At 42.8% G+C, this 13,420-nt stretch overlaps 1 protein-coding gene across 1 annotated transcript in view, besides 2 other annotated features; it reads right to left on the bottom strand.

Moving 5' to 3' along the window:
• SDK1 (sidekick cell adhesion molecule 1) overlaps nt 1-13,420 on the bottom strand; it is a 967,749-nt gene that overhangs the window by 534,876 nt on the left and 419,453 nt on the right. The gene's annotated exons all lie outside the window — the stretch shown is intronic.
• Nucleotides 10,991-11,533: an enhancer, noted in NCBI's record as "H3K4me1 hESC enhancer chr7:3762224-3762766 (GRCh37/hg19 assembly coordinates)". NCBI's record gives its function as "activates a minimal SCP1, AML or CMV promoter by ChIP-STARR-seq in naive H9 embryonic stem cells {active_cell/tissue: H9 hESC(naive)}" and the evidence as "EXISTENCE:reporter gene assay evidence [ECO:0000049][PMID:30033119]".
• Nucleotides 11,534-12,077: an enhancer, noted in NCBI's record as "H3K4me1 hESC enhancer chr7:3761680-3762223 (GRCh37/hg19 assembly coordinates)". NCBI's record gives its function as "activates a minimal SCP1, AML or CMV promoter by ChIP-STARR-seq in naive H9 embryonic stem cells {active_cell/tissue: H9 hESC(naive)}" and the evidence as "EXISTENCE:reporter gene assay evidence [ECO:0000049][PMID:30033119]".

The following is a 13,420-nucleotide window of genomic DNA, read 5'->3' as shown; positions in this document are numbered from 1 at the left end:
TGAAGAAGATGAGATGTGTTCCACGAGCCTTCATCTCACGGGGAGCCTGGGCAAGGAAAGGAGCTGTGGGTCCAGGGCACAGCCAGGGCTTACAGCAGATCTGGATCTGTTCCCAGCATGAATCCTCAGAGCACTTACATCTGAATCATCTTGGGAGCCTTTTGAAAATAAAAAGCTCTCCGGGCTCAGTCTTTGGAGATCTCGGTCAGTAGCTCTGGGCAGACTCCAGAACAGGCTTCCTAGGTGATTCTTATGTGCGATTCTGTTCAGATCTGGAAGCCAATTTGTTCTCACAATAGTCATAATCGGCGTTATGAGTGTTACAGCCTCCTGTAGGGAAGGGCCGTGAAGCAACAGGCCTTAAGTACAACAGAGAGAAGCAACGTCCAGTTTCCTTATTTGCCCTTTCATTTCTCTCTTTATTTCATACATCTGTGTTTGGGCACTTACTTCATTACTAGTCACTGTAGTAAGGGCTAGAAAAACAAAGCCAAGTGAGACAGACATAGCTTTTGGAACTCGCGGGCTAGAGGTAAACACAGACCTTAAACATGGGATTCAAGGAGGGAGGAATGCCTGCCACACGTCTACAGTCACTCACTGCTCAGCACTCGGACCTCCAGAGCAGGGCAACTTGTAACTTCCAGCCCTGGATAGAAGACTGTATGAATCCGGTTAAAGCAAAGACAGCATTCTTATTATCTGTAGTTTCTACAAATCAATCATGCACACTAACTCATAAGATAGTCTCTAATGAATGAGACGCTACAGATAATTTATAACCACTACCTACCTGCACATATTTAGGAGGCTTCCCAATTATAGTATCTGTTTCCATGTCATCCTGCAAAAGTTCTTAGGACAATGCATATTCTGGGATACTAAATTTGGTTCAAGGGACCTATTTAAGGACATAAGGTAATAAATTAAAATATTCTTTAAAGACTTAAGACATTGCACAGGGAGCCATCCATAGTTACCTAACGTTCTTTCCAAGAAACTTGTCAAACTCTTTTAAGCTCATCACTGAACTACCTAATATCCATTGTGTTTAATTGGTGATAAGCAATAATGATTCCCAGGGATGAAGTCACTTGTCAACGTGTAGACAACTGACAAAAACGGAAACAAAACACAAGCCTGTAACTCCCAAGATTACTTGCTATAAACTAGGTTGCCTCCCTAGACTCCAGGATAACTTCCACTCAAGATAAACTCATTCTCCACAGCAAGTCAGGATGACTGCTGTCAGAAAGGGAGAATAACACAGAAAGATAATCTAGTCACCACACCTGCATCTCAAGGATATTTAAAGCCTTGAACTGCCTCACAACCATGGCCATATGAGGCTTATTGAAGCTGCTATGGCATCTTGAATTAAAGTTTTCGTACCCTCTCTGTCACCAAATTATATTTCATTAAATGTGTGGCTAGACATTTCAGCGCCTCAGTTAAAGGAATGAAGGAGACACACTGCGAGGATTAATTAGCGTTTGCTGCTCAGTCTCTTTGAATGCTTCCCGAGGACAATGCAATGTTTTGCCAGTAAGAGAACAAAAGTGTAATTATTAGCACTGAACAAAAAAGGAAATATGTGAAAGAAATAACTAGCTCAGACCGAACCGAACTATTAAAGAGATGATGGATGCAAATGCTATAAATATGAATTGGACAAAGCAGAAATTAATGGTGTCAAGTTTTTAAAAAATCTTCCTCTATCTTTCCTCGGACTTTTAGAAAGTTCTACTTTATTCTACCTAAAAAAGCTCCAAATAACATGGTGGCTGTTTTTTGACAAAGATATATTCTTCTTATTTACACATGCCTATAAATACCCCAGCATTCGTTTCATCACAACAATTTGAAAATCAGCCGTTTTCCCACGCTCTACTGACAAAACAAAAAATAGTCGGAGTTTACCAATTCCCTACACCTTCCTACCTACTTCAACACAGAGAAAGCCCACTGGAACTCTGTGTAGTCACTGCTAACAAATATTCCTTCATTCACCCTTCCATCTTAAAAATAAAATTACTGCTGGGTGTGGTGGCTCACGCCTGTAATCCCAGCACTCTGGGAGGCTGAGGCGGGTGGATCACGAGGTCAGGAGATCGAGACCACCCTGACCAACACGGTGAAACCCCATCTCTACTAAAAATACAAAAATTATCTAGGCGTGGTGGTGGGCACCTGTAGTCCCAGCTACTCAGGAGGCTGAGGCAGGATAATCGCTTGAACCTGGGAAGTGGAGGTTGCAGTGAGCCAACATCACGCCACTGCACTCCAGCCTGGTGACAGAGCAAGACTCTGTCTCAAAAAAATAAAATAAAATAAAACCTAAAATAAGCAGGAGGTTCTTCTCCATGGAGAATTTTTTTCTCCTTCTTCCTAAATCTGTATGCCTTTTATTCAGTTCTTCTGAACATGCTGTATTGGAATATGGTGTTTGTATTCCTGGGGCTCTATCACCATCACAATAGGTGAGACGACAAAATGACCAAGAGATAGAAAAATTAGCTACTTAAAACACCTAGTCCAGATGCCTGCTCAGGTGCATCTCAACCACAAAACAGATTAAGACATAACGTGTTGCTACAAAGCGACACTACTAAACATGAAAGAATAGCAGAAGAAACGTCATCTGGCAACTCGTCGGAAGCTGTCAGCTGGCTTCCTTGTATTTCACCAGCAATGGCAGAGTGATGGGATCAGTGGCTCCACATTGTGACAGTGCCCTCCCACGCTGACTCGGGGCACGGTCCCGGGGCTCGCCTCCTAATGGTTCAGCAGCAAACTGGACATAAGCAGCAGCTTGTAGAAGCACTTGTATGTTTTTTCTTTCTCTCCTGGACCCACTGCCAGGAAAACATGCCCATGTGAACCTTATGGAAGGATGTAAAGAAGTGGAAGGAAGAACATGAGGGATCTATTGGAGGCCATCCTTGACCAGCTCTCCGCCCGTCACCCTGCCACTGCGGTGATGGATGCATGAGTGAGTGCAGACTAGCAGAAACACCTAGCCAACCCAGAGGCTTGGCACAAATCACAAAAAGTTATTCTTTGAAGTCACTAAATTTGAGAGGGGTTTTGTTACACAGCAACAGCTAACTGATACACCACTCAATGGAAAGCTAGAAAATGTGAACTGAGAACCAAAATTTTCAAAATGAAAGCTGTCCTAAGGTTCATCTGGGACCTTAGGCCTGATGCTGTATTCCAAAAAGACTGATGGCAAAGATGCAAAAGGGTCTCTAGTCTGGGAGCCAAAGCAGAATCTTCAAGGCCAGAGTGTGGTAGGCACAGCTGCCAAAGAGAGGGTTATATGTCCTCTCCCTCCATGCCACCCTCTTGCTATGTCTGAGGCTCTTCCAATTGGCTGCCTGTTGATCCATTTACTCTTGATAGTTTCCTGGAAGGAATATGAACGTTAATATTGTGTGTAAGGAAAACTGATCTAAGATCTGGAACCCAAGCCACAACTCACACACCACTGGCTTCCTTCCCAGAGAAAAAAGCCATTTGTGACCTCATCCTCTCAGTCCTGCTGCCAGGACACTCAATCTTCTGCTGGGCTCTTCCCGCTGGCACCCGTACTTGCTCTCTCCCTTCCTAGAGTCTTCTCATTCACATCTCTATTACCTTCTGTGTCCTACCCACCTGTCATTTCACACAATCTGCTTTTTGAAAAAGTAGACACAGATGGTCCCAGAAGATTCAGAATCTTGGCAAAGTTCTATTCACTGGCTTCACTCCAGAGCTCCTACTCTCACCAGGGCTGAAGAAAGCAGCCTGATGCCTCGGCTGTCAGATTCCTTTAACAACAGGCATGAAAACCACAACAGAGCACCTCCCATCATTTGCAGAAATTTAATAAGTGGGCACTGTATGTGAGGCTGAGATGCCCTTCCCTATTTCCTAGACTGTTTGTTTCAGCTACAGATGTGAGTGTTCTCCAAGTCATCTCTGTTTCAAAGGGATCCTCATCAGCAATGGTCCCTAAGCTGTGGGCTGTTTTCTCTATGAGGACAAATATTTCCTGCTAGGGGCCATCAAATCCATGTGTACCCAAGTACTATCTGTAGAATGAATAATGAAATAATGGGTCTCTCACACACATATATACATATATATGTACTACTGTTTTCCAAATGTTATGTTCAACAAAATGAAAATTACTCGAGATATGTTACTAAATCCACAGCCACTGCATGCGAGATAGCATGTATGTTAGCATCATCACACATTTTCTCAGTTCTTCACTTGATCTTAGCCAAAAGGCCGAGAACCGAGGATTTTCTCGGTTCTTAAATAATAAGAGCTCAAAAATTATAAGACTAAAAATTCTGGTCATTAAAAAAGATCTTCGTGTTCACACAGGCTCAATGGAAACCACTGATCTAGAAGTTAGACTCATTGTGAAGCTGACCTAGGGCCGCAGATGTTCTCTGGGATGATCTAACAAAATTAAGTATATATACAACATGCCTCAGGGTCTAGGGAAAGCTGCCCCAGACAAGAAGCAAAGGTAATGTGGCCAACCAATTAACCTTCCCATATCTAGCACTGTTGGCATTGTGGGTCAGATAACTCTTTGCTGTGAGAGGTTGTGAATTTCAGGATGTTTACCAGCATCCCTGGCCTTCACTCACAAGATGGCAAATGTGGCCCCCACCCAGTTGTGACAACCACAAATGTCTCCAGAAATTGTTAAGTGTTTCCTAAGGGATAAATCCTCCCCCTCGACCAATAGTCTAGGCTACTGTGTAGGAATACAGCGCTAGAGCAAGCACTTTCAACAACAGAACCATTAAGTTAAGGAATTATATATTAGCCAGAATGAGAATAGACCTTCATAGTCCCAAACCTGAATATCTAAATGCTAACTCCGCCTGCAAATGCAAAACAAAATGATGTTTTCCTAAGATAAAGAACACTTAATTTCATTAGATCTTACATCCAAACTTTATTAATATCCTAAAAAGTTTGATGCCATGGTAAAATAAATATAAACATCCTCCAGGCAAGGACAATGTTGCCCAGTATGGTTAAAGCAAATGATCAAGCCGGATTTCACACAATCAGCACCTAATCGCAAAGGCTAAGGTCAGGAGACACCGTTGGCATCCTATATTCTCCCTCGAGTTGCCTTCATAATTTTTAAATACAAGTTTTTCTAGAGATTTTTTTTTTAGAGAGATAGGTCTCTTAGAAATAGCCACTGTTGGTCCAGTGCGGTGGCTCACGGACCCACAGCACTTTGGGAGGCCAAAGTGGGCGGGTTACCTGAGGTCAGGAGTTTGAGACCAGCCTGACCAACATGGTGAAACCCCGCCTCTACTAAAAATACAAAAATTAGCCAGGCATGGTGGCACATGCCTGTAATCCCAGCTACTTGGGAGGCTGAGGCAGGAGAACTGCTTGAGCCCAGGAGGTGGAGGATACAGTAAGCTGAGATCGTGCCACTGTAATCCAGTCAGGCCGACAGAGTGAGACTCTGTCTCAAAAAAAGAAACAGCCACTGGAATTTGCTAACTCATGACTACATGGCCAACTTCTCTTCTCAATGTCACAAGGCCTTTCTCCACTGTTGACCAGAAAGAAATGCTGGGAAGAGTTTTGGGGATTTATTCATGTGTAAAAGACTACAGTTGTGAGATGTGATGGAATCACAGAGGGAGTCACTCAGCTAAGAGGTGGTGAGCACATCCCGCCTTCCTTCCTAATGCAATTCTCAATAACTGGGCTATTTGAAATTATGTCTGTGGTGAAACATTCCACTAAGTTGGTCAGATTTAAGAGAAGATACCCAGAAGGAGTGAACCCTGAGACAGCACTTGCAGGACAGCTAGAGTTAAAATAGGTAGAAGTAGTACAAAAACAAAGAGAAACGGAGTAACTTTACAGTGGAGATAGCTGATAAGTACTACCTCAGCGGTGATCAAGTTCAGCATCAACAGTGACACGCCATGCTGATGGCATGGGCCCTTCACATGGTATGAGAGTGGGACTTCACTTCTGCTGTCTTCCTCCTCAAACTCATCATCAGTCTAACCATGAGAAAAACATCAGAAACATCCAACTGAAGAACATATTACAAAATACCTAACCAGTGCCCCTTCAAACTGTCAAGATCATCAAGAACGAGCAAAGTTGGAGAAACTGCCAGAGACTGGAAAAACCTAAGGAAATACAGTGACTAAATGTAATGTGGTATCCTGGATGGGATCCTGGAACAGAAAGGAGGCATTGAGCAAAAACTAGGAAAATCTGAATAAACGGTGGACCTCGCTTGGTTAATATATTTTATTCCTGGTGACTCATTTTAAAATTTCTCGGCCGGGCGCGGTGGCTCATGTCTGCAATCCCAGCACTTTGGGAGGCTGAGGCGGGTGGATCACCCGAGGTCAGGAGTTCGAGACCAGCCCGGCCAACATGGTGAAACCCCGTCTCTACTAAAAATACAAAATTTAGCCGGACGCGCTGGTGTGTGCCTATAATCCCAGCTACTCAGGAGGCTGAGGCTGGAGAATTGCTTGAACCCAGGAGGTGGAGGTTGCCATGAGCCAAGATGGCGCCACTGCACTCCAGCCTGAGTGACAGAGCGAGGCTCCGTCTCAAAAAAAAAGAAAATTCTCTCCCTGGCAAAAAGAGGATGGCAGAGCAGAACCAGCCTTATAGAGAGCACAGAAAATAATTCAGAGGGCTTTGGTGGTGACAAGCTGATGGCAAACGTTAATGATAAATCCAACATCAGACTTTCTCTCCAGAATACAGAGCAATGGAATGAAACCACTTCCTATTAAGGGGTTCTGATTACACATTAGATGAGAAGACACAAACAAACAGAACTCTGATTAAATCAACATGGCAACAAGGTTGTTTTTTAAACTAAAAGTAACATGCTTCTCTATCTGCCATGTACATAATCAGTGAGTGATACTTTTGCCAACACCTATTTATGATGCAAGTGAAAATTGTGAAAATCAGTCCCTTCAAAAGAGGGAAACATTGTTTCCTTCCTCACAGCAAGCCTGCTTTCTTATCAGAAGCATGTCATGCCTATAAAGACTGCAATGCACATTCCCAAGACTGTCAGTCAAAGAGACCTACCTTATTCATGGTCAATTTATCAGGAAGACAGGCAATTACAGTTTGATTAGTATGCAATAAATGGTGTTTCTTTCCAATCTATCTAGCAAAGTGGTTGAGCAAAAATTCTTTGGTGTGATTTACACCCTAATGGACTACACAGTAGAAAGGTGTTTCATGTCAAGGGTTGAGTAAAGAGAAGAGTTGGGGGAGTTGGTAGAACATTTAATAGAGGAATAAAGCCCAGGAAGTTTGGACACCCTTCTGCAGGAAGGTCTGCTGGTACTGAGGACACTGTCAAAATCTGCTGTGATTTCTCCCAGCTCCCGATTATATGAGAGAACACAGTGGTTGATGTTCCCACTACCCACCTTTTAAAGTTTTTGAAGCATTAAAGGCTAAGTTGTTTTTTAACATAACTTATAACCTTGGAGATGATTCAACGACAAAGAATAAAATCAGTAACAATTGCCTTGCAATGGATAAAACCAAATGAAAACAAATACTTTAGAAAGTGCTAACAAAATACAAAACAAAGAATTCATTTACTTCCTACAGGAAAACATGCAAAAGGGTGAGAGTTGGGCCTCAAAATTTGCCATAAGACTGCAAAAACAGTTTCCTGTAAGAAAGAAATACTTACAGTCGAGTGACTGCTTTTAAATTTCATTGTTTGCCTATACCAACTATCTTAATATCCAAAAGCACTAACTTCGTTCTTCACACTGATCAGAATTAACAGATTTGAGTGAGCATACCTCTAAATCTGGTCTTTAAAAACAGTGTGTGTCAATCCACTGGCTGCCCTGTTTTACTTGGAGCAGTGTAAAGAGTTTTATGAATTGGGTTCCGCTACTTATCTAAAATGTTCTCACATGATGGATTCTCATATCCCTAGATCCTTCTCTATAAAGTCGAAATTCCTGCTTTACCTATTTCACTGGGAGGCTGTGAGGAAAGAACATTAGGCAGATGTAAGGTGATATTGCTTCAAGCACACTTAGCAAATCAGCAATTTATTTTCCCCTAAAGAATTTTAATAGTGTCCGTCTTGCACTGAGATATTGGCTCCTGAAGACAACCTTATTTTTCTCAAACCGGTCATTATTTTGTGATGTAAGCATGTTTTAACCCAGAATCAATTGACTGTTCAATACGATTGGAGTCCGACTGCAGTAATTTTAGAAACTTTATTACGGTAGTAAATTGTGGTTTCAAATCACATGTCATTCGTGACCATGCTTATAAAAGAGAAGACGACAGTACAACTCCCACACTGGTACTAGCAATTTTCTTCTCTCCAGTGGTCTTGGCTTCCGGCAACTGAAGTTTGTCCACTTACGGCTGGGGCTCCAGGGACAGAGAATGCTTTGATTATTTTTCCAGCTTGGCCAGCCTCCCTGTTCTTGGGGCTCCTGTCTCTCTATGTATGGTTTATATTAAAAAGTAGAGCGCCAAAGAGTGGCAAGAGTGAGCTAAAGGTGCTGGAATAATAGTAACTGTATTGATAGCATTAATATTCTCTTAAGGGGATCTCATCACAGTTTCTTGTGTAACTATGAATAGAGAATTTTTTTGAAAAACATGAAATTTATCAAACCTACACAATGTTCTGATTGCAAGGCGAACAGCCAGAGGATTACTTAACAGGTCCTCTGCCAAGTCCCTCCTCCTTTTCAGCCCTTATCAGGCTGCAATGCTTTGAGAAGGACAGTTCCTTCCTCACTCAAAGTCCTGAGATCCATGTGCTTTGGATCTCATGAAATTGCTGGGAGTACCATGTGAAAGTCCGTCTTCCTTGAACCCTGCATTCTTTTACCTCTCTAGTACAAATGAGGGCAGATTTTCTTCTAGCAAGAAAGTCCCTAGCAATTCCTTCTTAACTGAACTCTATTCAGAAAGTTACTTCCTCTATCTACTGAAAAAGGATTCAGCTCTGTAGATCTATCTTTCTCTTAAAAGTAACAACTAGGCCCATTCACATTGAATCAGGATGTGGCTAAATAAGAAAGTCTAAGCTAATGCAGCTTAAGAAGGCCTCTGAGGCAGCTGAGCTGGCTGTCCACGAAAATCTATTTTCATTTCTAAAATACACATTTAAACCCCAGCCAGGAATTGTATTTCCAACCCTCTTTCCAGGTAGGCATGGCCACATGGCCATGTGACAAGTTCTCTTCGGTGGAAGGGTGGTGGAAATGACATGGGATGCTTCTGGGCCAGGCCAGTCCAGGGTTGTAAGAGGTAGGTGGGCTCCCTCCTCATTCCTTTTTCCTTCCGAAAGCTGACTGCAGGCGAGCTGGTAGACAGTACAACTGCAGGACCCAAGCAGCCCGTGTCTCTGAATCACCTCATGGAAGACAGCAACCCAAGGACCAGGCAGCCTATCCAGGGCTTTTCTTGGGATAAAAACCACTTTTGTTGCATATGCGCTTTCAAACATTTTTAGTCTGTTAATAGTCGACCTAGTACAGTTCAATATTAGGCCCCTTGGAAGGCATAATCATGATCACAGTTTTCTGTTTCTCTCTTCTCACCTTTTAGCCTACATCAAACAAATACTGCTCAGACATAATAAGGTGATGGTACAATAGAATAACAACTATTTATTTTATTTTATTTATGTTTTGTACAGACAGGGTCTCACTATGTTGCCCAGGCTGGTCTCAAACTCCTGGGCTCAAGCAATCCTCCTGCCTCAGTCTCCCAAAGTGCTGGGATTACAGGTGTGAGCTCCTGCTCCTGACTGATAACTATTTCATACAGCAATTTTTGGCTGGGCGCAGTGGTTCATACCTGTAATCCCAGCAATTTGGGAGGCCAAGGTGGGTGGATCACCTGAGGTCAGGAGTTCGAGACCAGCCTGGCCAACATGATGAAACCCTGTCTCTACTAAAAATACAACAAATTAGCTGAGCATGGTGGCACACGCCTGTAATCCCAGCTACTTGGGAGGCTAAGGCAGGAGAATCGCTTGAACCCGGGAGGCGGAGGTTGCAGTGAGCCGAGATCACACCACTGTACTCCAGCCTAGGCAACAGGTGAGACTCTCTCTCTCTTTCTCTCTCTCTCTCTCTCTCTCTCTCTCTCTCTCTATATATATATATATATATACGTGTATATATATATGTACGTGTATATACACGTGTATATATATATGTACGTGTATATACACGTGTATATGTATATGTACGTGTATATACACGTGTATATGTATATGTACGTGTATATACACGTGTATATGTATAAGTACGTGTATATACACGTGTATATGTATATGTACGTGTATATACACGTGTATATGTATATGTACGTGTATATACACGTGTATATGTATATGTACGTGTATATACACGTATACACACACACACACACACACAACTTTTACTTACTAACTGAATGAAATGTCTTCTTCCAATTCTTTAAACTTCATTAAAGAAAACAACATATACTTTAATTTCAGGTTTTATAATGGAAAGTTCATAAGGTTATATCAACAAATCAGATATAATTTTCTCACTGATGTTTCTAATTTTGCTACTAGTGTGTGAATAAAGAAAAACTGAAGAAATAATCTCTTTTAACTTACCCCATCCACAGGGAGATCCCCTTATTAAGTCATCAAGATATAGTAGCAGCCCTTAGAAGTTTCCTTTTATCAACAAATACCGTATTTTTCAAAGGCTTATATTTAAGATATAAAAATTGCTCTTCTTTCAGGAAAGTGCTGCCTGTTTTCTATGGTAATCATACGAATTTATGTCTCTACCTCCATACTCAAAGGCAGCTTACTTACTTGGTCTAACTTATTTACTGTCTCATTTTGAACTCTTAATTTACTATTCAACAGGGACAAAGCTCAATTTTGAGTACAGAAGCCTTTTATTTTAGAACACACTTGAGAAACGTCTGAGGACAGAATTTTATATGGACTCACACATTCTTTCCTAACACAGATATGCTATCTGGCATTATGAAAGTTACTTAACTTCACTGTTTGTTTCCCAAGTGTGAAATTGAATATTACTTGTTACTTCTTTTCTTCTCCCAAAGAGTAATGTGAAGTTTAAAACATGTAAAGCAATTTCCAGGTGAAAGGAGTTTACAAACACCAAGGATTCAGGCTGGCTCTCCTCTCCATCTTGGGGAAAGCATATGTCCTGAGAGAGGAGGGGGAATGGCCAGGAGGGGAGTGGTCAGATGGCCCTGTGAGCCAGAAAGCCCACCCTGCTTCAGCCTCTGAGCAAGACCTAAGAACAGACAGAGGGCGGTGCTGAGCCACCCGCGCGAGTCCCCGGATCTGAGGATTCTGCACCAGGGGGTGGGGCACTTGAGTTCAGCCTGCAGCTGTCTGGGCACCATGTGGTGGCTACAGGATGCTGCTAAATACACCACAGCGCTTTATAAGCACCCCGTGTGTCCGGAATTGTGCAGCGTGCTAAGGCGCGTACACACAGTGCATCCCTAAGGAGCTCCTGGACCTCAGCAGCACAGGGACATAGATACAGGATTGAAGAGGAGGGAAGGCAAATGGCTCCTGCCTGCTTTCCCCCTGGTGGTGTCCCCTGCGGTGAGTGCCGCAGCCCTGCAAGCTTCCCTGATTAAAGGCTCCAAATGTACTTCTCTACCCTGGGCTGACTCCCCAGGGTGCCCCTTCCTTGCGGCTGCCATACCAGGGGAGAGAGATTGTTCTGATTGTTTCCTAAACTCCACTCCTCTTCGACTGTTCTTGGGGCTCCTGTCTCTCTAATAGTGGCTATGGCATAGGACGTGGTCTCCGAGTCTCCCCTTCTTCTGTACAGTCTACCAAGCCAGGGTATTCTTTATGGGCCAATCTTAGCAAGATTTACTGCTAACCTGGGCTGGCCTGGTGGCTCACATCTGTAATTCCAGCACTTTGGGAGTCCAAGGAAGGAAGATCACTAGAGCTCAGGAGTTCAAGACCAGCCTGGGTAACATGGTGAAACCCTGGCTCTACAAAAATAACCTCAAAAAAACAAAAAAAACAAGAGGTCAAGGCTGCAGTGAGGCATGATCGTTGCCACTGCCTTCCAGACTGGGTGATAAAGACAGACTTTGTCAGAAAGGAAAGGAAAGGAAAGAGGAAAGGAAAATAATTTACTGTTAATAATGAAGAGAAAATCAGGAGATAATTGGTACCTAAAGGAGAGCTTAAGGATGGCCGACAGTTCATGAAGTTGTTATGCCAACCGGTCTAAGCCCTAGTAGAATGGAGCAGAGACATTCCTACAAGCTCTCAGCTCTGGGTTCTCTTTTCTTATGGTCCTGTATCTCCTCTTCCTCTTTCTTAATCCTGGGAACAGATCATTATTCCTCCCCCTTCCTCAGTGAGCACACAATGCACTCTCTGATCTCATCCTACCCTCCTTTGGAAACACCAGACACCCACATAGCTGATGCCTGGTTAGAGCAGAAGAGACAACAGAGGGTCATTTGCGTCAGAAGGGTGCACCCACAGAGGTGTTACCAAATCATCTCAAGGCCCTCCTCCCAAACTTTAGAAGCCTACGCTGTACTGTGAAAGCCTTATTATTTGATGTTCTCTCATTCATATTGTCTTTAATTCATTTTATTTTGAAATAATTAGATTTACGAGGAGTTCAAAGAAATGTACAGTGAAACCCATTCATCCTTCACCCAACCTGCCCCAGTGCCAACATCGTGCTGAGTAACTACAGTTTACCAAACAACATCAAAACCAGGAAACTGATGTTGGGAGAATTCATAGAGAGTATTCAGATGACACCAGCAGTGCCTGCACTCATGGATGGGTGTAAATACACTCTATGCAATTTTATCACACGCGTAGCTTTATGTAACTACCACCACAACCAAGAGAGGGAACAGTTCCATCACCTCCAAGCTCCCTCCAGCTCCCTTTTTAAGCCCCACCCATGCCCTTGCTCTCCATCCCAAAGCCTAACTCCTGGCAACAAAAGATCTCTTCTCCATTGCTGTAACTGTGTAACTTGAGGGATCTTAAATAAATGGAATCTAAATGGACTCATGCGGTCTGTGACCATTTGAGATTGGCTTTTCTCACTCAATATAACTCTCTTGAGGTCTATCCCAGTTGTGTGTATCAGAAGCCCATCACTTCTTATTATGAGCGATGTGTGATGGAATGGAAGTACTACACTGTGTTTTAAATATTTGTCTATTGCAAGATATTTGAACTTTTCCTAGGTTTGGGCTATTACAAACAATGGTGCTAGAAACACTCATGTACAGGTTTTTGTGTGAACGTAGTTTTCATTCTCTGAGATATGCCCAAGAATGCAGTAGCTTGCAAAGGATCATAAAGTAAGCACCC

The sequence above is a fragment of the Homo sapiens genome, chromosome 7 (assembly GCF_000001405.40).
Source record: "Homo sapiens chromosome 7, GRCh38.p14 Primary Assembly".
Lineage (NCBI taxonomy): Eukaryota > Metazoa > Chordata > Mammalia > Primates > Hominidae > Homo > Homo sapiens.
Note: the sequence above shows the minus strand (reverse complement) of the source record. Positions and strands in the feature narration are given on the sequence as shown.